Below are 20427 nucleotides of genomic sequence, written 5' to 3'. Positions count from 1 at the left end.
TTTTTTGGTATTTTTAGTAGAGATGGGGTTTCACCATGTTGGTCAGGCTAGACTCAAACTCTTGATCTCAGGTGATCTGCCCACCTTAGCCTCCCAAAGTGCTGGGATTACAAGTGTGAACCACTGTGCCCAGCCAAGAGTGTGTTACAGTTTTCTATGTAGCCGTCTTGCATAACTTTGTTAGATTTATTCCTTAGCGTTTTTAAAAGTGGTATTGTAAGTAGTGTTTTTAAAACTGCATTTAAAAATTGTAGCTGTAATATAAAAATAAGATAGATTTTTATATTATTCATGTATATTGCTGTAATAGTTGATAATTTACATTTAGGTTCTTTTGGATTGTATACTGTACAGTCATCTGTGAATATTATATCATCTGCAAATGAATCTTTTATCTTACCCTTACCAATCTTATGTCTTCTATATATCTTGCCTTACTCTGCTGCCTGAGACCTCCAGTATGATGAATAGAAGTAGCATGTTCCTGATCTAAGAGGGAAAAAACCTTAAACATTTTGCCATTAAGTATGATGTTTGCAGTGGGTTTTCTGTGGATACCTGTTACTAGAAATTCATTTTTTTATTTGAGTTTATCATGAATGGATGTTAAATTTTATCAAATGCTTTTTCTGTATCAATTGAGGTATTCATATCATTATTCTCCTTTATGTTATCAAATAATTATTCTCCTTTATGTTATCAATGTGGTGAATTGCATTGAATAAAATTTTCAAATATTAAACCAACTTTTAATTTCTGATACAAATTTTAAATTTAATTCAATTTTTGAATTGTGGTTTTTCCCTTACATCGTCGTTAGTGAAACTGGCCTGCAGTTTTCCTTTTGACAGGTTTTGGTATCAGGGTTATAATGGTCAGTAAGCATGGCTTTAGTTGTACCTCATCAGTTTGGATGTGTAGTATTTTCATTATCTTTCAGGATATTTTCATATATCCACTTCGATTTCTTCTTTGACCCATGCATTTTTGAGAAGTATATTATTTTCCAAACATGGGGATTTTATAACTATCTTTCTGATGTGGAACATAGTCTGTATTTCAGTTCATTTAAATGTATTGACATTTGCAGTATGGCCTAGCAGCTGGTCATTTTGCAAATGTTCTATTTGTATTTGTAAAGGACATGTAGAGTGCATTTACTAGATATACTGCTCGAGGTGTGTCCATTTTGTTTAATTGTGTTAAAATATTCTGTATTCTCACTAATTTTTGTCTGCATATATCAGTTTTTGAAAGAGATGTGTAAAATCTCCCATTATGATTATGGATTTCCTTATTTCTCCTTTTAGCCTTGTCAGTTTTTGCTTTATGTATGTTGAAGTTTTTATTAGATATTTTCAAATTTAGGATCATTAACATTATCCAGTTTGCCATTTTTATCCTTATTAAAGTGCCTATCTCTGGTAGTACTTTGTTGTTGTTGTTGTTTTTGTTTTGTTTTGTTTTTGAGACAGAGTCTCACTCTGTCACCCAGGCTGGAGTGCAATGGTGCATTCTTGGCTCACTGCAACCTCCACCTCCTGGGTTCAAGCAATTCTCCTGCCTCAGCCTCTCGAGTAACTGGGATTACAGGCCTGTGCCACCATGCCCAGCTAATTTTGCATTTTTAGTGGAGACAGGGTTTCATCATGTTGGCCAGTCTGGTCTTGAACTCCTGACCTAAGTGATCTACCTGTCTCGGTCTCCCAGAGTGCTGGGATTAGAGGTGTGAGCCACCATGCCTGGCTTGGTAATGCTTTTTCTTTGCTCTTGCTGATTTTAATATAGTTATACTACCTTTTGGTATATGTTTACATTGAGTATTATTTCCCATTCTTTTACTTTTAGCCTTTCTGTTTCTCTGGTAGGTGGCATAACAAACTTTGTTTTTATTTTATTTTATTTTATTTTTATTTTATTTTATTTTCTATTTATTTTTTGAGACAGGGTTGCATTCTGTTGCCCGGGCTGGAGTATGGTACCAGATCACAGGTCACTGCAGTCTCGGCCTCCTAGCATCAAGGGATCCTCCTGCCTCAGCTACCTGAGTAACTGGGATTACAGGCACATGCTGCCATGCCTAATTTTTTTTTTTTTCCTTTGGTAGAGACAGGGTTTCACTGTGTTGCCTAGGCTGGTCTTTAACTCCTGGGCTCAAGTGATCTGTCTGTCTCTGCCTCCCAAAGTGCTGCAGTAACATGCATGAGGCCCTGTAACCGGCCCAAACTTTGTTTTTAATTGGAGCATTTTAGCATATTTAGATTTAATGTAATAACTGACATTTTGGTGTTTATACTTGCTTAATACAATATATGCTTTTTTAATGTCCTATCCTTTGTTCCCTTTTCTCTTCTTTCTTCTTTTAAATATTTCTTAAACAACTTTATTGAGGCATGATTTATATACAATAAAATTTACCCATTGTAAGTGTACAGTTCAGTGATTTTCAGCAAATTGATGAAGTTATGCAACCATCACCACAATCTGGTTTTAGAACATTGTCATCCTAAAAAGTTCACTTATGTTCATTTATTTATTTAGTTTTTATAGCAGCTTTATTGAGATGTAATTCACATATTGCACAAGTCACCCTTTTAAAGTGTACAAGTTGGTAAACTAAGGAGATAAAAGGGTAAAAAAAAAAAAAACTGAAGTGTACAAGTCAGTGGTTTTTACTGTATGCACAAAGTTATGCATCTATCATCACGATCAATTTTAGAATATTTTATCACCCAAAAAAGAAACCTGGTATTCAGTAGCAGTTACTCCCCAGTTTCCCCATCCCCACAGCCTTTGCCAACCAGTGATCTTTCTGTCTCTGGATATGCTTATTCTGGACATTTTAAATTAATAGAATCAGACAATATATGGCCTTTTGAGACTGGCTTCTTTTAGGTTTTTTTTTTTTTTTTTTTTTTAGATGGAGTCTCGCTTTGTTTTTGTTTCTGTTTTGAGACAAGGTCTGGCTTTATCGCCCAGGCTGAAGTGCAGTGGCGCAGTCTTGGCTCACTGCAACCTCTGCCTCCTGGGCTCAAGCCATTCTCCCACCTCAGCCTCCCGAGTAGCTGGGACTACAGGCATGTGCCACTACATCCGGCTAATTTTTTTTTTTTTTGTAGAGGTGGGGTTTCGCCATGTTGCTCAGGCTGGTCTTGTACTTGTGAGCTCAAGTGATCTGTCCACCTTGGCCTCCCAAAGTGCTGGGATTACTTTGGCATCAGAGGCATGAGACACTGTGCCCAGTTAGACACTGGCTTCTTTGATTTAGCATAATGGTCTCAAGATTTATCCTTGTTGTAGTATCAGTACATCATTACTTTTTTTGCTGAATAATATTCCATTGGATGGATATACTATATTTTATTTATTCATCAGTTGATGGACATTTGAGTTGTTTCACTCTTTGGTTATAATGATGTCTTTTTTTTTTTTTTTTTTTATCTTGCTCTGTCACCCAGGCTGGAGTGCAGTGGTGCTGTCATAGCTCACTGCCGCCTCATTCTCCCAAGCTCAAGTGATCTTCTCACCTCATCCTTCTGAGTAGCTGAGACCAGAGGTGTGCACCACCACCCTTGGCTTATTTTTTTTTTTTATTTTTAGTAGAGGCGAGCTCTCGCTATGTTGCTCAGGCTGGTCTTGAACTCCTGAGCTGAAGCAATCCTCCCGCCTTAGCCTCCCAAAGTGCTAGGCAAATATTGGGGCAAACGGTTCATAATACTCCTTTATCATCCTTCGAAGTCCATGGAGTCAGTAATAATAACTCCTCTTATGTACCACATATTAGTAATTTGTGTTTCTGTCTTTTTTTCTTGATAAGCCTGGTTAGAGTTTATCAATCGTATTGATCTTTTTAAAGAACTAACTTTTGGTTTTGTTTTCTCTCTTGATTTTTTGTTTTCAATTTCAGTGATGTTTGCTCTCATTTTTATTTTTTTCTTCTGTTTGCTGTAGGCTTAAACTGCTCTTTCTGTAGTTTACTAAGGTAGAAGCTTAGATTATTGACTATAGATATTTCTTCTTTTCTATTATATGCATTCAGTGATATACACTTCTGGCTTATTACTGCTTTCGCTGCATCCCACAAATTTTGATAAGTTATATTTTCATTTAGTTTAAAATATTTTAACTGTAAGAGTTGATTTGCCATTTTTTTGTCTGGCAGTTCTTTTAGGCAGTTTTTGCCTCATATTTTGACATGCTGTTGTTAGGTGCATATATGATAAGGATTGTTATGTCTTCTTGGAGAATTAACCCCTTTGTCATTATGAAATGACCCACTTTATTTCTGATAATTTTTTTATGAAGCCTGCTTTCTCTGAAATTAATATAACTACTCCATCTTTCTTTTTATGTGATTTATCTTTCTCCATCCCCTTTTCTATTTTTTGAGACAGAGTTTTGGTCTGTCGCCCAGGCTGGGGTGCCATGGCGCGATCTTGGCTCACTGCAACCTCTGCCTCCCGAGTTCAAGCGGTTCTCCTGCCTCAGCCTCCCGAGTAGCTGGGATTACAGGCACTTGCCACCACACTCAGCTAATTTTTGTATTTTTAGTAGAGATGGGGTTTTATCACGTTAGCCAGGCTGGTCTCAAACTCCTGACTTCAGGTGATCCACCTGCCTCGGCTTCCCAAAGTGTTGGGATTACAGGTGTGAGCCACCGTGCCTGGCCTTTTCCCTTACTTTTAACCTATCTATATGTATATTTAAATGAGTTTCTTGTAGACAGCATATTGTTGGATCTTGGTTTTTTAAATCCATTCTTTTAGTCTCTTTCCTTTGATTGGTAAGTTTAGACCATTCATAGATATTTACAGTGATTATTGATATAGTTGGATTAATGTATACCATGTTTGTTTTATTATACTTGTTCTTTGTCTTCCCCTCTTTTTCTGCCTTTTATGGGCTTAACTGAGCAGTTTATATGGTTCCATTATTTTTCATCTCTTAGCATATCAATTATTCTTCTTGTAAAAATACTTTTAGCAGTTGCCCTAGAATTTCCAGTATATATTTACGACGAGTCTAAGTCCACTCTCAATGATATTGTGCTGTTTGTGAGTGGTACAAGAGTATTTCCAATCCCTCCTTCTTATTATAACATAGTAATAGGCTGTTGGGGAGGTTTTGAAGATTTATAGAAAGAGGCTTTTTATAGTAGTGCTTAGAGATAAATTTGTAACTGTCCTGGGTGGGTTTGGAAGTCGGCTGCTCTCCTTTGCCGTATCAGCTATTATCATCAATAATACAATAATATGTTCTCTCTTTTTTTGACTCACAGTTCACTGAGACTTTTTTGACGGAGAGGGACAAACAATCCAAGTGGAGTGGAATTCCTCAGCTGCTCCTCAAGCTGCACACCACCAGCCACCTCCACAGTGACTTTGTTGAGTGTCAAAACATCCTCAAGGTAACTCTTAAGGACCTTGGAGGGGCGTATTCAGGGCCTCTAGGTGACACAAGATGTCTGCTGTTTTTTTTTTCCCTTCCGTTGGCTTTTAAAAATAGCCTGTTTTTACTGTGTGAGCTATAGAAAATTTGAGAAATTCAGAAAAAGTACAAAGAAGAAAATATACATCACCTATAATCCCATCATCCCAAGATAATCACCATTAGGTTCCCTGTGTTATCCTTTTGGGCTCTATGTGTGTTTATTTTGTGGCAGTGCTTGCTTAATTTTGGGAGGTCAACACTATCCTGTGATTGGGATGACATTCTTTTTGAAAAGGGTTTAGAAGATTACATACTGCTGAAGGCTCGTGGAAGAGGCCTTATGGTTGTTGAATATTATTACTAACGTAAGAAGATTGAAGGGGCCAGGTTTGATGATTGGGAAATGAGTGGAAAGAGCACGGAGACATTATGCTAGGATAATTGTTCTCAAACTGGAGTGTGTTTATGAATCACCTGAAGAGCGTGTTAAAACACAGAGTTCTGGGCCCCACCCCTGAAATTCTGATTCAGTAGGGCTGGAGTATCTAAACTTTAGCTGTAGTTTGGATCTAAATTTGAATTTAGAGCACCAGCTCTAATGCAGTTAAAACCCATGTAAGTGGGGGTCCGGTTCCAGGATGGCCAAATAGGAACAGCTCCAGTCTATGGTACCCAGCATGAGCGATGCCTAAGACAGGTGATTTTTGCATTTCCAACTGAGGTACCGGGTTCATCTCACTGGGGCTTGTCAGACAGTGGGTGCAGTCCACGGAGTGTGAGCTGAAGCAGGGCGGGGCATTGCCTCACCTGGGAGTCGCAAGGGGTGGGGGAATTCCCTTTCCTAGCCAAGGGAAGCCATGACAGATGGTACCCAGAAAATCGGGACACTCCCACCCTAATAACTGCACTTTTCCAACGGCCTTAGCAAATGGCACAGCAGGAGATTATATCCTGCGCCTGGCTTGGAGGGTCCCATGCCCACGGAGCCTTGCTCACTGCTAGCACAGCAGTCTGAGATCAAACTGCAAGGTGGCAGCAAAGCAGGGGGAGGGGTGTCCACAACTGCTGAGACTTGCGTAGGTAAACAAAGCGGCCGGGAAGCTCGAACTGAGTGGAGCCCACCGCAGCTCAAGGAGACCTGCCTGCCTCTGTAGACTCCACCTCTGGGAGCAGGGCATAGCTGAACAAAAGGCAGCAGAAACTTCTGCAGGTTTAAATGTCCCTGTCTGACAGCTTTGAAGAGAGTAGTGGTTCTCCCAGCACAGAGTTTGAGATCTGAGAACAGACAGACTGCCTCCTCAAGTGGGTCCCTGACCCCTGAGTAGCCTAACTGGGAGACACCTCCCAGTAGGGGCCGACTGACACCTCATACAGCCGGGTGCCCCTCTGAGATGAAGCTTCCAGAGAAAGGATCAGGCAGCAGCATTTGCCGTTCTGCAATATTTGCTGTTCTGCAGCCTCTGCTGGTGATACCCAGACAAACAGGGTCTGGAGTGGACCTCCAGCAAACTCTGACAGACCTGCAGCTGAGGGTCCTGACTGTTAGAAGGAAAACTAACAAACAGAAAGGACATCCACACCAAAACCCCATCTGTATGTCACCATCATCAAAGACCAAAGGTAGATAAAACCACAAAGATAGGGAGAAACCAGAGCAGAAAAGCTGAAAATTCTAAAAATCAGAGCGCCTCTTCTCCTCCAAAGGAACACAGCTCCTCACCAGCAACGGAACAAAGCTGGATGGAGAATGACTTTGATGAGTTGAGAGAAGGCTTCAGATGATCAGTAATAACAAACTTCTCCGAGCTAAAGGAGGATGTTTGAACCCATCATAAAGAAGCTAAAAACCTTGACAAAAGATTAGACGAATGGCTAACTAGAATAAACAGCATAGAAAAGACCTTAAATGACCTGATGGAGCTGAACACCATGGCTCGAAAACTACGTGACGCATGCACAAGCTTCAGTAGCCAATTCGATCAAGTGGAAGAAAGGGTATCAGTGATTGAAGATCAAATGAATGAAATGAAGCGAGAAGAGAAGTTTAGAGAAAAAAGAATAAAAAGAAACAAACAAAGCCTCCAAGAAATATGGGACTGTGTGAAAAGACCAAATCTACGTCTGATTGGTGTACCTGAAAGTGACGGGGAGAATGGAACCAAGTTGGAAAACACTCTTCAGGATATTATCCAGGAGAACTTCCCCAATCTAGCAAGGCAGGTCAACATTCAAATTCAGGAAATACAGAGAACGCCACAAAGATACTCCTCGAGGAGAGGAACTCCAAGACACATAATTGTCAGATTCACCAAAGTTGAAATTAAGGAAAAAATATTAAGGGCAGCCAGAGAGAAAGGTCGGGTTACCCACAAAGGGAAGCCCATCAGACTAACAGCGGTTCTCTTGGCAGAAACTCTACAAGCCAGAAGAGAGTGGGGGCCAATATTCAACATTCTTAAAGAAAAGAATTTTCAACCCAGAGTTTCATATCCAGCCAAACTAAGCTTCATAAGTGAAGGAGAAGTAAAATCCTTTACAGACAAGCAAATGCTGAGAGATTTTGTCACCACCAGGCCTGCCTTACAAGAGCTCCTGAAGGAAGCGCTAAACATGGAAAGGAACAACCGATACCAACTACTGCAAAAACATGCCAAATTGTAAAGACCTTCGATGCTAGGAAGAAACTGCATCAACTAATGAGCAAAATAACCAGCTAACATCATAATGACAGGATCAAATTCACACATAACAAAATTAACCTTAAATGTAAATGGGCTAAATGCTCCAGTTAAAAGACAGACTGGCAAATTGGATAAAGAGTCTAGACCCATCAGCGTGCTGTATTCAGGAGACCCATCTCACATGCAGAGACACACATAGGCTCAAAATAAAGGGATGGAGGAAGATCTACCAAGCAAGTGGAAAACAAAAAAAAAAGCAGGGGTTGCAATCCTAGTCTCTGATAAAACAGACTTTAAACCAACAAAGATCAAAAGAGACAAGGCCATTACATAATGGTAAAGGGATCAATTCAACAAGAAGAGTTAACTATCCTAAATATGTATGTACCCAATACAGGAGCACCCAGGTTCATAAAGCAAGTCCTACAAAGAAACTTAGACTCCCACACAATAATAATGGGAGACTTTAACACCCCACTGTCAACATTAGACAGATCAACGAGACAGAAAGTTAACAGGGATATCCAGGAATTGAACTCAGCTCTGCACCAAGCGGACCTAATAGACATCTACAGAACTCTCCACCCCAAATCAACAGAATATACATTCTTCTCAGCGCCACGTCGCACTTATTCCAAAATTGACCACATAGTTGGAAGTAAAGCACTCCTTAGTAAATGTAAAAGAACAGAAATTATAACAAACTGTCTCTCAGACAACAGTGCAATCAAACTAGAACTCAGGATTAAGAAACTCACTCAAAACCACTCAACTACGTGGAAACTGAACAACCTGCTCCTGAATGACTGCTGGGTACATAACGAAATGAAGGCAGAAATAAAGGTGTTCTTTGAAACCATTGAGAACAAAGACATGACATACCAGGATCTCTGGGACACATTTAAAGCAGTGTGTAGAGGGAAATTTATAGCACTAAATGCACACAAGAGAAAGCCGGAAAGATCTAAAATTGACACCCTAACATCACAATTAAAAGAACTAGAAAAGCAAGAGCAAACACATTCAAAAGCTAGCAGAAGGCGAGAAATAACTAAGATCAGAGCAGTACTGAAGGATATAGAGACACAAAAAACCCTTCAAAAAATCAATGAATCCAGAAGCTCGTTTTTCGAAAAGATCAACAAAATTGAAAGACCGCTAGCAAGACTAATAAGAAAAGAGAGAAGAATCAAATAGATGCAATAAAAAATGATAAAGGGGATATTACCACCAATCCCACAGAAATACAAACTACCATCAGAGAATACTATAAACACCTCTACGGAAATAAACTAGAAAATCTAGAAGAAATGGATAAATTCCTGGACACATACACCCTCCCAAGACTAAACTGGGAAGAAGTTGAATGAATCCCTGAATAGACCAATAACAGGCTCTGAAGTTGAGGCAATAATTAATAGCCTACCAACCAAAAAAAGTCCAGGACCAGACGGATTCACAGCCGAATTCTACCAGAGGTACAAAGAGGAGCTGGTACCATTCCTTCTGAAGCTATTCCAATCAATAGAAAAAGAGGGAATCCTCCCTAACTCATTTTATGAGGCCAGCATCATCCTGATACCAAAGCCTGGCAGAGACATAACAAAAGAGAATTTTAGACCAATATCCCTGATGAACATCAATGCAAAAATCCTCAATAAAATACTGGCAAACCAAATCCAGCAGCACATCAAAAAGCTTATTCACCACGATCAAGTTGGCTTCATCCCTGGGATACAAGGCTGGTTCAACATATGCAAATCAATAAACGTAATCCATCATATAAACAGAACCAAAGACAAAAACCACATGATAATAGGTGCAGAAAAGGCCTTCGACAAAATTCAACAGCCCTTCATGCTGAAAACTCTCAATAAACTAGGTATTGATGGGACGTATCTTAAAATAATAGGAGCTATTTATGACAGACCCACAGCCAATATCATACTGAATGGGCAAAAACTGGAAGCATTCCCTTTGAAAACTGGCACAAGACAGGGGTGCCCTCTCTCAGCACACTCCTATTCAACATAGTGTCGGAAGTTTTGGCCAGGGAAGTCAGGCAGGAGAAAGAAATAAAGGGTATTCAATTAGGAAAAGAGGAAGTCAAATTGTCCCTGTTTGCAGATGACATGATTGTATATTTAGAAAACCCCATTGTCTCAGCCCAAAATCCTCTTAAACTGATGAGCAGCTTCAGCAAAGTCTCAGGATACAAAATCAATGTGCAAAAGTCGCAAGCATTCCTATACACCAATAACAGACAGCCAAATCATGAGTGAACTCCCATTCACAATTGCTACAAAGAGACTAAAATACTTAGGAATCCAACTCACAAGGGATGTGAAGGACCTCTTCAAGAAGAACTACAAACCACTGCTCAATGAAATAAAAGAGGACACAAACAAATGGAAGAACATCCCATGCTCATGAATAGGAAGAATCAATATTGTGAAAATGGCCATATTGCCCGAGGTAATTGATAGATTCAATGCCATCCCCATCAAGCTACCAATTACTTTCTTCACAGAATTGGAAAAAACTACTTTAAAGTTCATATGGAACCAAAAAAGAGCCCACATTGCCAAGACAATCCTAAGCCAAAAGAACCAAAGCTGGAGGCATCACGCTACCTGACTTCAAACTATACTACAAGGCTACTGTAACCAAAACAGCATGGTACTATTACCAAAACAGAGATATAGACCAGTGGAACAGAACAGAGCCCTCAGAAATAATGCCGCATATCTACAACTGTCCGATCTTTGACAAACCTGACAAAAGCAAGAAATGGGGAAAGGATTCCCTATTTAATAAATAGTGCTGGGAAAACTGGCTAGCCACATGTAGAAAGCTGAAACTGGATCCTTTCCTTACACTTTATACAAAAATTAATTCAAGATTGATTAAAGACTTAAATGTTAGACCTAAAACCATAAAAACCCTAGAAGAAAATCTAGGCAATACTATTCAGGCCATAGGCACGGGCAAGGACTTCATGACTAAAACACCAAAAGCAATGGCAACAAAAGCCAGAATTGGCAAATGGGATCTAATTAAACTAAAGAGCTTCTGCATAGCAAAAGAAACTACCATCAGAGTGAACAGGCAACCTACGGAATGGGAGAAAATTTTTGCAATCTACCCATCTGACAAAGGGCTAATATCCAGAATCTACAAAGAACTTAAATTTACAAGAAAAAAGCAAACAGCCCCATCAAAAACTGGGCGAAGGATATGAACAGACACTTTTCAAAAGAAGACGTTTATGCAGCCAACAGACACAGGAAAAAATGCTCATCATCACTGGCCATCAGAGAAATGCAAATCAAAACCACAATGAGATACCATCTCACACTAGTTAGAATGGCGATTATTAAAAAGTCAGGAAACAACAGGTGCTGGAGAGGATGTGGAGAAATAGGAACACTTTTAAACTGTTGGTGGGACTGTAAACTAGTTCAACCATTGTGGAAGACAGTGTGGCGATTCCTCAAGGATCTAGAACTAGAAATACCATTTGACCCAGCCATCCCATTACTGGGTATTTACCCAAAGGATTATAAATCATGCTGCTATAAAGACACATGCACGTGTATATTTATTGCAGCACTATTCACAATAGCAAAAGACTTGGAACCAACCCAAATGTCCATTTAATGGTAGGCTGGATTAAGAAAATGTGGCACATATACACCATGGAGTACTATGCAGCCATAAAAAATGATGAGTTCATGTCCTTTGTAGGGACATGGATGAATCTGGAAACCATCATTCTGAGCAAACTATCGTTAAGGACAGAAAACCAAACACCGTGTGTTCTCACTCATAGGTGGGAATTGAGCAATGAGAACACTTGGACACAGGGTGGGGAACGTCACACACCAGGGCCTGGCATGGGGTGGGGGGAGGGGGGAGGGATAGCATTAGGAGATATACCTAATATAAATGACGAGTTAATGGGTACAGCGCACCAACATGGCACATGTATACATATGTAACAAACCTGCATGTTGTGCACAAGTACCCTAGAACTTAAAGTATAATAAAATAAAAAACAGCAAAAATAAATAAATAAAAACCATGTAAGTTATATTGAACGTAATGAAACTGAATGACAGTGTTCTTCAGAGGTGAAGTTTTGATTATTATATCACATAGTAAGTTATTTTAAAATGTAATAGAAACTAATTAAACTTAGTCTTTACGTTTAAGAAGAGACATTTTCATATTTTGAATCTCACAGTCTGATAGAAATAATTATAGCTTCTTAAACTTGTTTAAAAATGCTTTTCAAAGAGTTGCACATTATTTGCTTCTTGCAAAATCTCAGGAGATTGAGGTGAAGTTAAAGGGGAGGGAAATTAATATTTGTATATCTTTGCTATGTGATCATCATTTCTTTATTCATTAAGTAAGTACTTATTTGAAACTTACTATGTTTTAGGTTTTCTTGTAAGATTTTTTTTCCTCTTAGCTTTGTTCCATATGAACAAAGGATTCTGTGGCCGTCAGTTTGAGAACTACTACCCTATGTGTGCTGTATCAAATACTCTGTCTTGGAATCTGTGGGGAATACAAAGTGGGATCTGTTTGTGTTGTCCTCAAGGAACGTTTAGTCTAGGGAAGAAATAACATAGGTTTGGCCGGGCGCAGTGACTCACGCCTGTAATCCCAGCACTCTGGGAGGCCGAGGCGGGTGGATCACAAGGTTAGGAGATGGAGACCACGGTGAAACCCCGTCTCTACTGAAAATACAAAAAATTAGCCGGGCGCAGTGGCGGGCGCCTGTAGTCCCAGCTACTCGGGAGGCTGAGGCAGGAGAATGGCGTGAACCCGGGAGGCAGAGCTTGCAGTGAGCCGAGATCGCGCCACTGCACTCCAGCCTGGGTGGCAGAGCGAGACTCCCTCTCAAAAAAAAAAAAAGAAATGGTTTGTAAATAGGTGCAAAGTAAAAGTGCTAAATGTTACAAATGAGTTGTAGATTGTTTTGGGGGTCTGAAGAGCATGCTTCTGGTTGGGGGAAATCAAGAAGACTTCCTGCAGGAGATTATATTTGAGCAGTGACTTGGTTATTGCTACAGAACTAGTCACCCCGAAACCTAGCAGCCGGAAGTAACAAGAATCATTTATCTGTCAACAATTCTTGGTTGACTGAGTGGCTCCTCTGCTTCATGTGCTGTTGGGTAGGGTGGTACTGAGATATCTGGAATGTCCAAAATGGTCTCTCTCACATCCCTGGCAGGTTGGTGCTGGCTGTCAGCTGGAGATCAACTAAGGATGTTGCTCTTGGCCTCATTTCTTCTCCTTATGGCCTCCCCATTGGCTGTGTTCTCACAGCATGATGTTTGGGTTCCAGGATGGCAAGAGCGAAGTCTGTCAGGCTTTTTATTTTTTTTTAATGACAGAGTCTCCCTCTGTTGCCGAGGCTGGAGTGCAGTGGCTCTATGTTGGCTCACTGCAACGTCTGCCTCCGTGGCTCAAGTGCTTCTTGTACTTCAAATTCCTGAGTAGCTGGGATTACAGGTGTGTAGCACCACATCCGGCTAATTTTTGTACTTTTAGTAGAGATGGGGTTTTGCCATGTTGGCCAGGCTGGTCTCAAACTCCTGGCCTCAAGTAATCCGCCCACCTTAGCCTCCCAAAGTGCTGGGATTACAGGTGTGAGCCTGGCTTTCTTAAGGCTTGTGCTGGAAGTGGCCTAGTGTCACTTCTACCACATGCTGTTAGTTGAGGTGTGTCATACCAGCCCAGATTTAGTGTGAGAAGGGGCTTTACAGGGGCCTGAATACTAGGAAGTGTGGTTCATTGGGGACTGTCTTTGTGTTCATGGGAACTCCAGTTGGGACTAAAGCTCAAACTGATGCTTTAGTGTCTGGTCTGTGTTGGTTACTAAAACAATGTATGTACTTTTTTTTAAAAAAACTAGGAAATTTCTCCTCTTCTCTCCATGGAGGCTATGGCATTTGTTACTGAAGAGAGGAAACTTACCCAAGAAACCACTTATCCAAATACTTACATTTTTGACTTGTTTGGAGGTGTTGATGTAAGTAGCTATTTATTATTACTACTGCTGTTACTACTGCTTAATGGTTTGGGAATTTAACTTTTGAAATGGGAGATAGGAAAGATTTCAGAATTTATAACATTTCAGATTTTAACTTTTAGAAGCTTAGCGGCATTTACATGTTGAAGCAGCATAGTTTTTACTTCAGAAGAATTCATTTATTTAAATTGGTGTATACCTTTTTAAAAAAATACTAAGTGAAAAGTACATCTCTAAATTTCCCAGTGTCCCCTCCTCAGAACCAGTTGTGATTACTAGTTTCTTGTGTGTCCTGCTTAAGATGTTTTGTTTTTTTTGTGTGTGTGTGTGTGTGTGTGTGTGTGTGTGTAAATATTCCCCACCACCTCCACCTTAGTTTATTTTCTCCGCACATAGAGTGATATACCATATACACGGCTACACTATTCTGTACCTTCTTTCTTCTTCTTTTTTTTTTTTTAATTAAAACAATTTTAGGCCGGGCGCAGTGGCTCACGCCTGTAATCCCAGCACTTTGGGAGGCCAAGGCAGGTGGATCGTGAGGTCAGGAGTTCGAGACCAACCTGTCCAAGATGGTGAAACCCTGTCTCTACTAAAAATACCAAAATTAGATGGGCACGGTGGCAGGCACTTGTAATCCCAGCTACTCAGGAGGCTGAGGCAGGAGAATTGCTTGAAGCCGGGAGGCAGAGGTTGCCGTGAGCCAAGATCATACCACTGCACTCTAGCCTGGGTGATGAGCTCTCAAAAAAAAATTAAATGGTTAGTGTTTCCTGGTGTGATTGTGCCATAATTTATTTACCCAGGCCCCAGTTGACTGGCATTTATAATTTTTCCACACCATTTCTCTTACAGACAAGGTTGCAGTAAAGATCTTTTACATATTTTTGTATACATGTGAGTATATACCTTTGGAACAAGAACGTATGTTTTTTATTGTTTATAAATCTGAAGTTTACCTACCTAAGAAGTTTTGTCAGTTTATATCCCCAGGAACAAAGTATGAGCGTCTGTTTACCCATACCATCACCAACATACTGTGTTTATGTGTGTATTTTTATAGACTTTGTTACTGAAGTATAACCTTCATACAGAAAAGTACACCAATAATTACCACAAAATACATTCACTTTTGCACTACCACCCAAATTAGGAAATAGAACATTACCAGTACCCAGAAGCCCCCTTCCACAAACAGTGTATTTTAAGTATTTACTAAGCAGTTATGAGAAAAGTGATATTTTTCCATAGTTTTTTTTAATCAGCTTTATTAAGATATGGTTCATATACCATACATTTCACCCATTTGAAGTACACAATTCAGTGGTTCTTAGTATATTTGCAGATATGTGCAACCATCACCACAGTCAACTTTAGAGCATTTTCATCACCTCAAAAAAGAAACTCCATGTGTTTTATCTAGCACTCCCCTACCTCTACCACCTCCTCCCCCTCTCCCCACACTAGTATACTTTTTGTCTCTATAGATTTCTCTGTCGTGGACGTTTTGTATAAATTTAGTTATATAATATGTGGTCTTTTGTGACTGGCTTCTTTTCACTTAGCGTAATGATTTCTAGATTCATCTGTGTTGTAGCATGTATCAACACTCATTTTTATGGTCAAATGATGTTTCACAGTGTGGATATGCCACATTTTTTATTTGTTGAGAGGCATTTGGATTGCCTCCGTCTTTTTGCTATTATGAATAACAGTGCTATAAACATTCTTGCACAGGTTCTTTGTGGACATGTTTTCATTTCTCTCAGGCATATACATACCTAGGAATACAGTTGCTGGGTCATATGGGGTAACTCTATGTTTAATTGTTTGAGGAACTGCCAGAATGTTTTCCAAGAGGCCCTGCCATTTTACATTGCCACCAGCAGTGTATAAGGGTTTCAGTTTTTCTGTATCCTTGCCAACACTTGTTATCTGTCATTTTGAAAGTGTTTTAAAATTTAAAAAAAAAGTACTGAGATGGCGTTTTGCTTTGTTGCCCAGACTGGTCTCAAACTCCCGGACTCAAACAGTCCCCCAGCCTTGGCCTCCCAAAGTGCTGGGATTACAAGCATGAGCCCCCGCTCCAGCCCTGTAATGATTACAGCCATTCTAGTGAGTGTGAAGAGACATCTCATTGTGGTCTTGATTTGAATTTCTCTGATTGCCAATGATGACCATCTTATTCTTGAGTTTGTCATTTGTATATCTTCCTTGGAGAAATGTCTGTCTCTCCTTTTTCAATTTCTTAGTTGAGATATATCTCTTTTGAATATTGTGTTGTAAGAGTTCTTTATAAATTCTCTGCATAGTTTTTAAAATTCATTCTTCTATGACTGAGATTGGATATTTTTTCTTGTGTTTATAAGTAGTTCCTTTTCTGCCAGTTTTCTGTTTTGCACCTTTTTCGATTTGATTATTTGTCCTTTTTCTTATTGATCTGTAAGTGCTTTTGATTTTTTAAAGGCCTTTGTCATTTGTGTTTTTTTACTATTTTGAGAATTAAATTTTGATGTTATTTTAAAATTAGAAATGTTTAATTTTTAGATTGTCAGATTGATCAGTGTTTTACTATAATGGCTTCAGAGTTTTGGTTCATGCCTTTCCCACTGTTGGATTTAAACCATGCCTATTTCCTTCTAATATTTTACAGTTTTTATTGTGTATGTTTAAATTTTTGCATCATTTGAAGTTTATTTTGGTGTAATGACTGAGGGGTTAGGATCTGACTTTGCTCCCCTAGATATCTGCCCTTAACCCCATTACCTGAAGTGAACATGAGGGAGAGGGCATTTCTGGGTATTATGGTTAGTCTTTATCTTGATCTATGTGGCGATTGTACAGGAATGGTGTTCAGTGTGTAAAACTACATGTGCAATTTATACTCATGGCCAGGTACAGTGACTCATGCCTGTAATCCCAGCACTTTAGGAGGCCGAAGCAGGCGGATTGCATGAGTTGAGGAGTTAGAGACCAGCCTGGGCAACACGGCAAAACCCCATCACTACTAAAAATTAAAAAAATTAGCCGATTGTGGTAGCACATGGCCTGCAGTCCCAGTTGCTTGATGGGGGCTGGGTGGGAGGATTGGTTGAGTCCGGGAGGTTGAGGCTACAGTGAGCCGAGATCGCACCATGAACTGCAGCCTGGGTGACAGAGCAAGACCCCATCTCAAAAAAAAAAATTGTACTCTTTATGCGGTATCACGTTATACTTCAATTATTAAAGTTTCCTTTTGTTTAAAGCTACCATTTTCCAGTAAAGTAAAGATTGAGTGTGACATCTGCATGCATGGCATCAGCCACAGCCTTTCTTCTTTAACTGCTGCTCCGCATTCCCTCTCCACAGCAGTGTCGGTGGTCCTAGGGCATTTACTTACTTGGCTAGCTCAAGAGACCCTTTACTTTTGAATTGTTTCATCAAGAAATCTACTTAGTAAGAACTGATGTATTTATGGGAGGAAAAATAATAATGTAGGTCTGTAGCCTGTGTCTATTTGCAGTGGAAATGTGGCTCTCTAGTAGGAGCCTATCCCATCTTCGGACATCTTTGGATCAACTGTTCTTGATTTTGTGGGGGTTTTTCTTTCCTGCTTTGAGTTAGGGCAGCTTCTCCAGGAATCCCAGTCATTTTATAAACATGGGCTCCTGCTTAAGTAATTATGCACCTCACTGACCTTCAGTTTGGGTGCATTTGTTAGTGAACTCTCTTGCTGTCCTGCTGCTGGTAGTATTTTCCAAACAGCTTGTTATTTCTTCCTCTGCTAATAACTAGCAAGAACCCAAAGTAAGCCTCTCTTGGTCATGCTGCCCAAAGCTCAGTGGGATCACTCCTTGTCAGCCTGACCCTATCCATAACATGACTGTGAAAAGTGTGTCTTAGAGTTTACAAAGCAGATGTGAAGTATGTAACTAAGTGGAGTGAAGCAGACCCAGAGCAAGCTCATCTGCATAAATTAAATGAGTATGGGGAATGTTTTGGGCTAGAGAGTGTGTGCCTGCTTTTATGGAGGAAATGACTCTTCCTCTCCCATTGAGTGTTTCCCTGAGAGGTTATGGGAAATCTAGATTTGTAGGTAAAAATCTTCCAGCTTTTCAGTAATTGTGGGCCAGGTGTAAGCCATTGCTTGGCATTCAGGAACTTTTATTCACTGACATAGTCTATCTTCCATTTGAAGTTAATTTATTTTAAATACATTCTATGCACTTGAGCATCTTACGTCTTACTTGGATGAATGTGATCTCTTTTGAGAAGAATTGGTGTAGTATACTTCAGAGCTTTAAACATTACTACTCATTTTGCCCTGTTGTTTCCATTTCTGTGACTCTGATGAAGACGTAAGTCAAAATGAGATAAAGCTTGTGTATACCAAGACCGTTAGGTGTAACATTATTTGTAATGACTATCTACCAGGAGAAGATAATGGTTATTCTATCTATTTTGTTGAATTTTATGAAGTTGTTAATATAATGTTAAAGTTATAGTAATATGGGAAAATTCATGATGAAAACAGGCTATAAAATGGTTATATACTGTATAATAATTACTTCACCTTTTCTAGAGGATGACCTTAGGTCTCTATTATACAAAGCAAAGCAGGCATATGTTCAGGGCAGTTTTCATTGTTGCCTCAAGTCATGAGACTTCTTTCTTTTCCCTCCTGCAAGTGCAGTTAACAATAAATACAGATGTGCAGAAAGCTGAGCCCAGTGCTTCTCTAGAATTGACAATCTGTGGTGTAGTAGTTTAGGATTTTTATTTTTAATCTGCTGCTTTAAGCTAAAATAACACATCTCTCTTAATTCAGGATGTTGAATTATAGTGTCACATTCATGCCACGAGCAATCTCATGGCATGTGAATTACTTTCTAAAGATTTGTTGCTGGTTTGAGATGAGCAGAGGCTTTCTCAGACCCTCAAGCTGAACTGTCTAGTCTCAAAGATTTGCCTGCTGGCTTTTTAATTTAAAAAATGCTATGGAATCTTCCTTCTTCATTTGGCTTGAGGTGTCTTGGACATGCTGCCTAAGTATTGGCCTATAGCTAGAAGGGGCTAAGGAAGAATTTTTCTTTTTGTTCTGGGGTAGCTCCTAGCTTGATTTAAACAATAATAAAAAATACATACGTATATAGGGAATGTCTTTAAACATATGGGCTTAGTCATATTCTCAGCATATAGATAATTTTTAAATGCTTTAAGTGAAAATTGGACTTTTTTGGAAAACAAAGGTCCTAATTTTTCTCATTTTAAAAGGAAAAGGTGTTTGTCAAGGAAAATGTGAAAAACTGTCTTGGGACTTGTCACCAAAATTCAACCACTGTTAAGATTCGGGAGTATTCCTTTCTAACATTTATTTTTTTCTGTTTATATTAACCTAGAATTTGTTTAACAGAATTTTTTTTAATTACAGCTTTTAAAAATTGTTGGGATGATTTTAGAGATAGAGTTGCACTGTGTCACAGGCTGGAGTGCAGTGGTACGATCCTAGCTCACTGCAGCCTTGAACCCCTGGGCTCTAGTGATCCTCCTGCCTCAGTCTCCCGAGTAGCTGGGACTACAGGTTCATGCCATCACACGTGGCTAATTTTTTAATATTTGTTAGAGATATGGGGGTCTTGCTTTGTTCCTTAGGCAGTCTCCAACTCCTGGTCTCAAATGATCTTCCTGCCTCACCTTCTTCAGTAGCTGGGATTATAGGCACGAGCCACCCTGCCTCCCCAGCAATAACAGCTTTATTGAAATATAATTTACATAAAGTTAATTCTTGTAACCACCCATCAGTATTGTGCAGTGATAACCAGAACATTTTTATCACGCCAAAAAGAAATCTTGTACAAATTAGCAGTCACTCCCCATCTCCCCTTCTCCCCAGCTCTGGCAGCCGTTAATCTATTTTATGTCTGTATTATGCCTGTTGTGAAATATCCATAATGTCCATAATATGCCTGTTCTGTCAGTCCGTTCTCATGCTGCAATGAAGAAATACCTGAGACTGGGTAGTTTATAAAGGAAGGAGGTTTAATTGACTCACAGTTCCATGTGGCCTGGGAGGCCTCAGGAAACTCACAATCATGGCAGAAGGCAAAGGAGAAGCAGGCACCTTCTTCACAGGGCAGCAGGACAGAGTGAGTGCAAGCAGGGGAAATGCCAGACACTTATAAAATCATCAGATCTCATGAGACTCCCTCGTTATCACGAGAACAGCATGGGGGACCTGCCTCCATGATCCAGTCACCTCCACCTGGTCCCACCCTTGACACATGAGGATTA

General features: G+C 39.7%; 1 protein-coding gene across 9 annotated transcripts in view, besides 1 other annotated feature; it reads left to right on the top strand.

Moving 5' to 3' along the window:
* The window catches only part of TRPC4AP (transient receptor potential cation channel subfamily C member 4 associated protein), a 90404-nt gene that overhangs the window by 9355 nt on the left and 60622 nt on the right, over positions 1–20427 (top strand). For all 9 annotated transcript variants that reach the window (XM_047440096.1, NM_199368.2, XM_047440095.1 and 6 more), the window contains exons 2-3: positions 5279–5407; positions 14041–14157. In XM_047440096.1, the coding sequence (XP_047296052.1) occupies positions 5279–5407; positions 14041–14157 (246 nt within the window). The remainder of the gene's footprint in view (positions 1–5278; positions 5408–14040; positions 14158–20427) is intronic.
* Positions 12946–13115: an enhancer, noted in NCBI's record as "active region_17773". NCBI's record gives its function as "activates an Ori minimal core promoter by ATAC-STARR-seq in GM12878 lymphoblastoid cells {active_cell/tissue: GM12878}" and the evidence as "EXISTENCE:reporter gene assay evidence [ECO:0000049][PMID:35858748]".

The sequence above is a fragment of the Homo sapiens genome, chromosome 20 (assembly GCF_000001405.40).
Source record: "Homo sapiens chromosome 20, GRCh38.p14 Primary Assembly".
In the NCBI taxonomy this organism is placed as follows: Eukaryota; Metazoa; Chordata; class Mammalia; order Primates; family Hominidae; genus Homo; species Homo sapiens.
The sequence above is the reverse complement of the archived record's forward strand: the minus strand, read 5'-3'. Positions and strand labels throughout refer to the sequence as shown.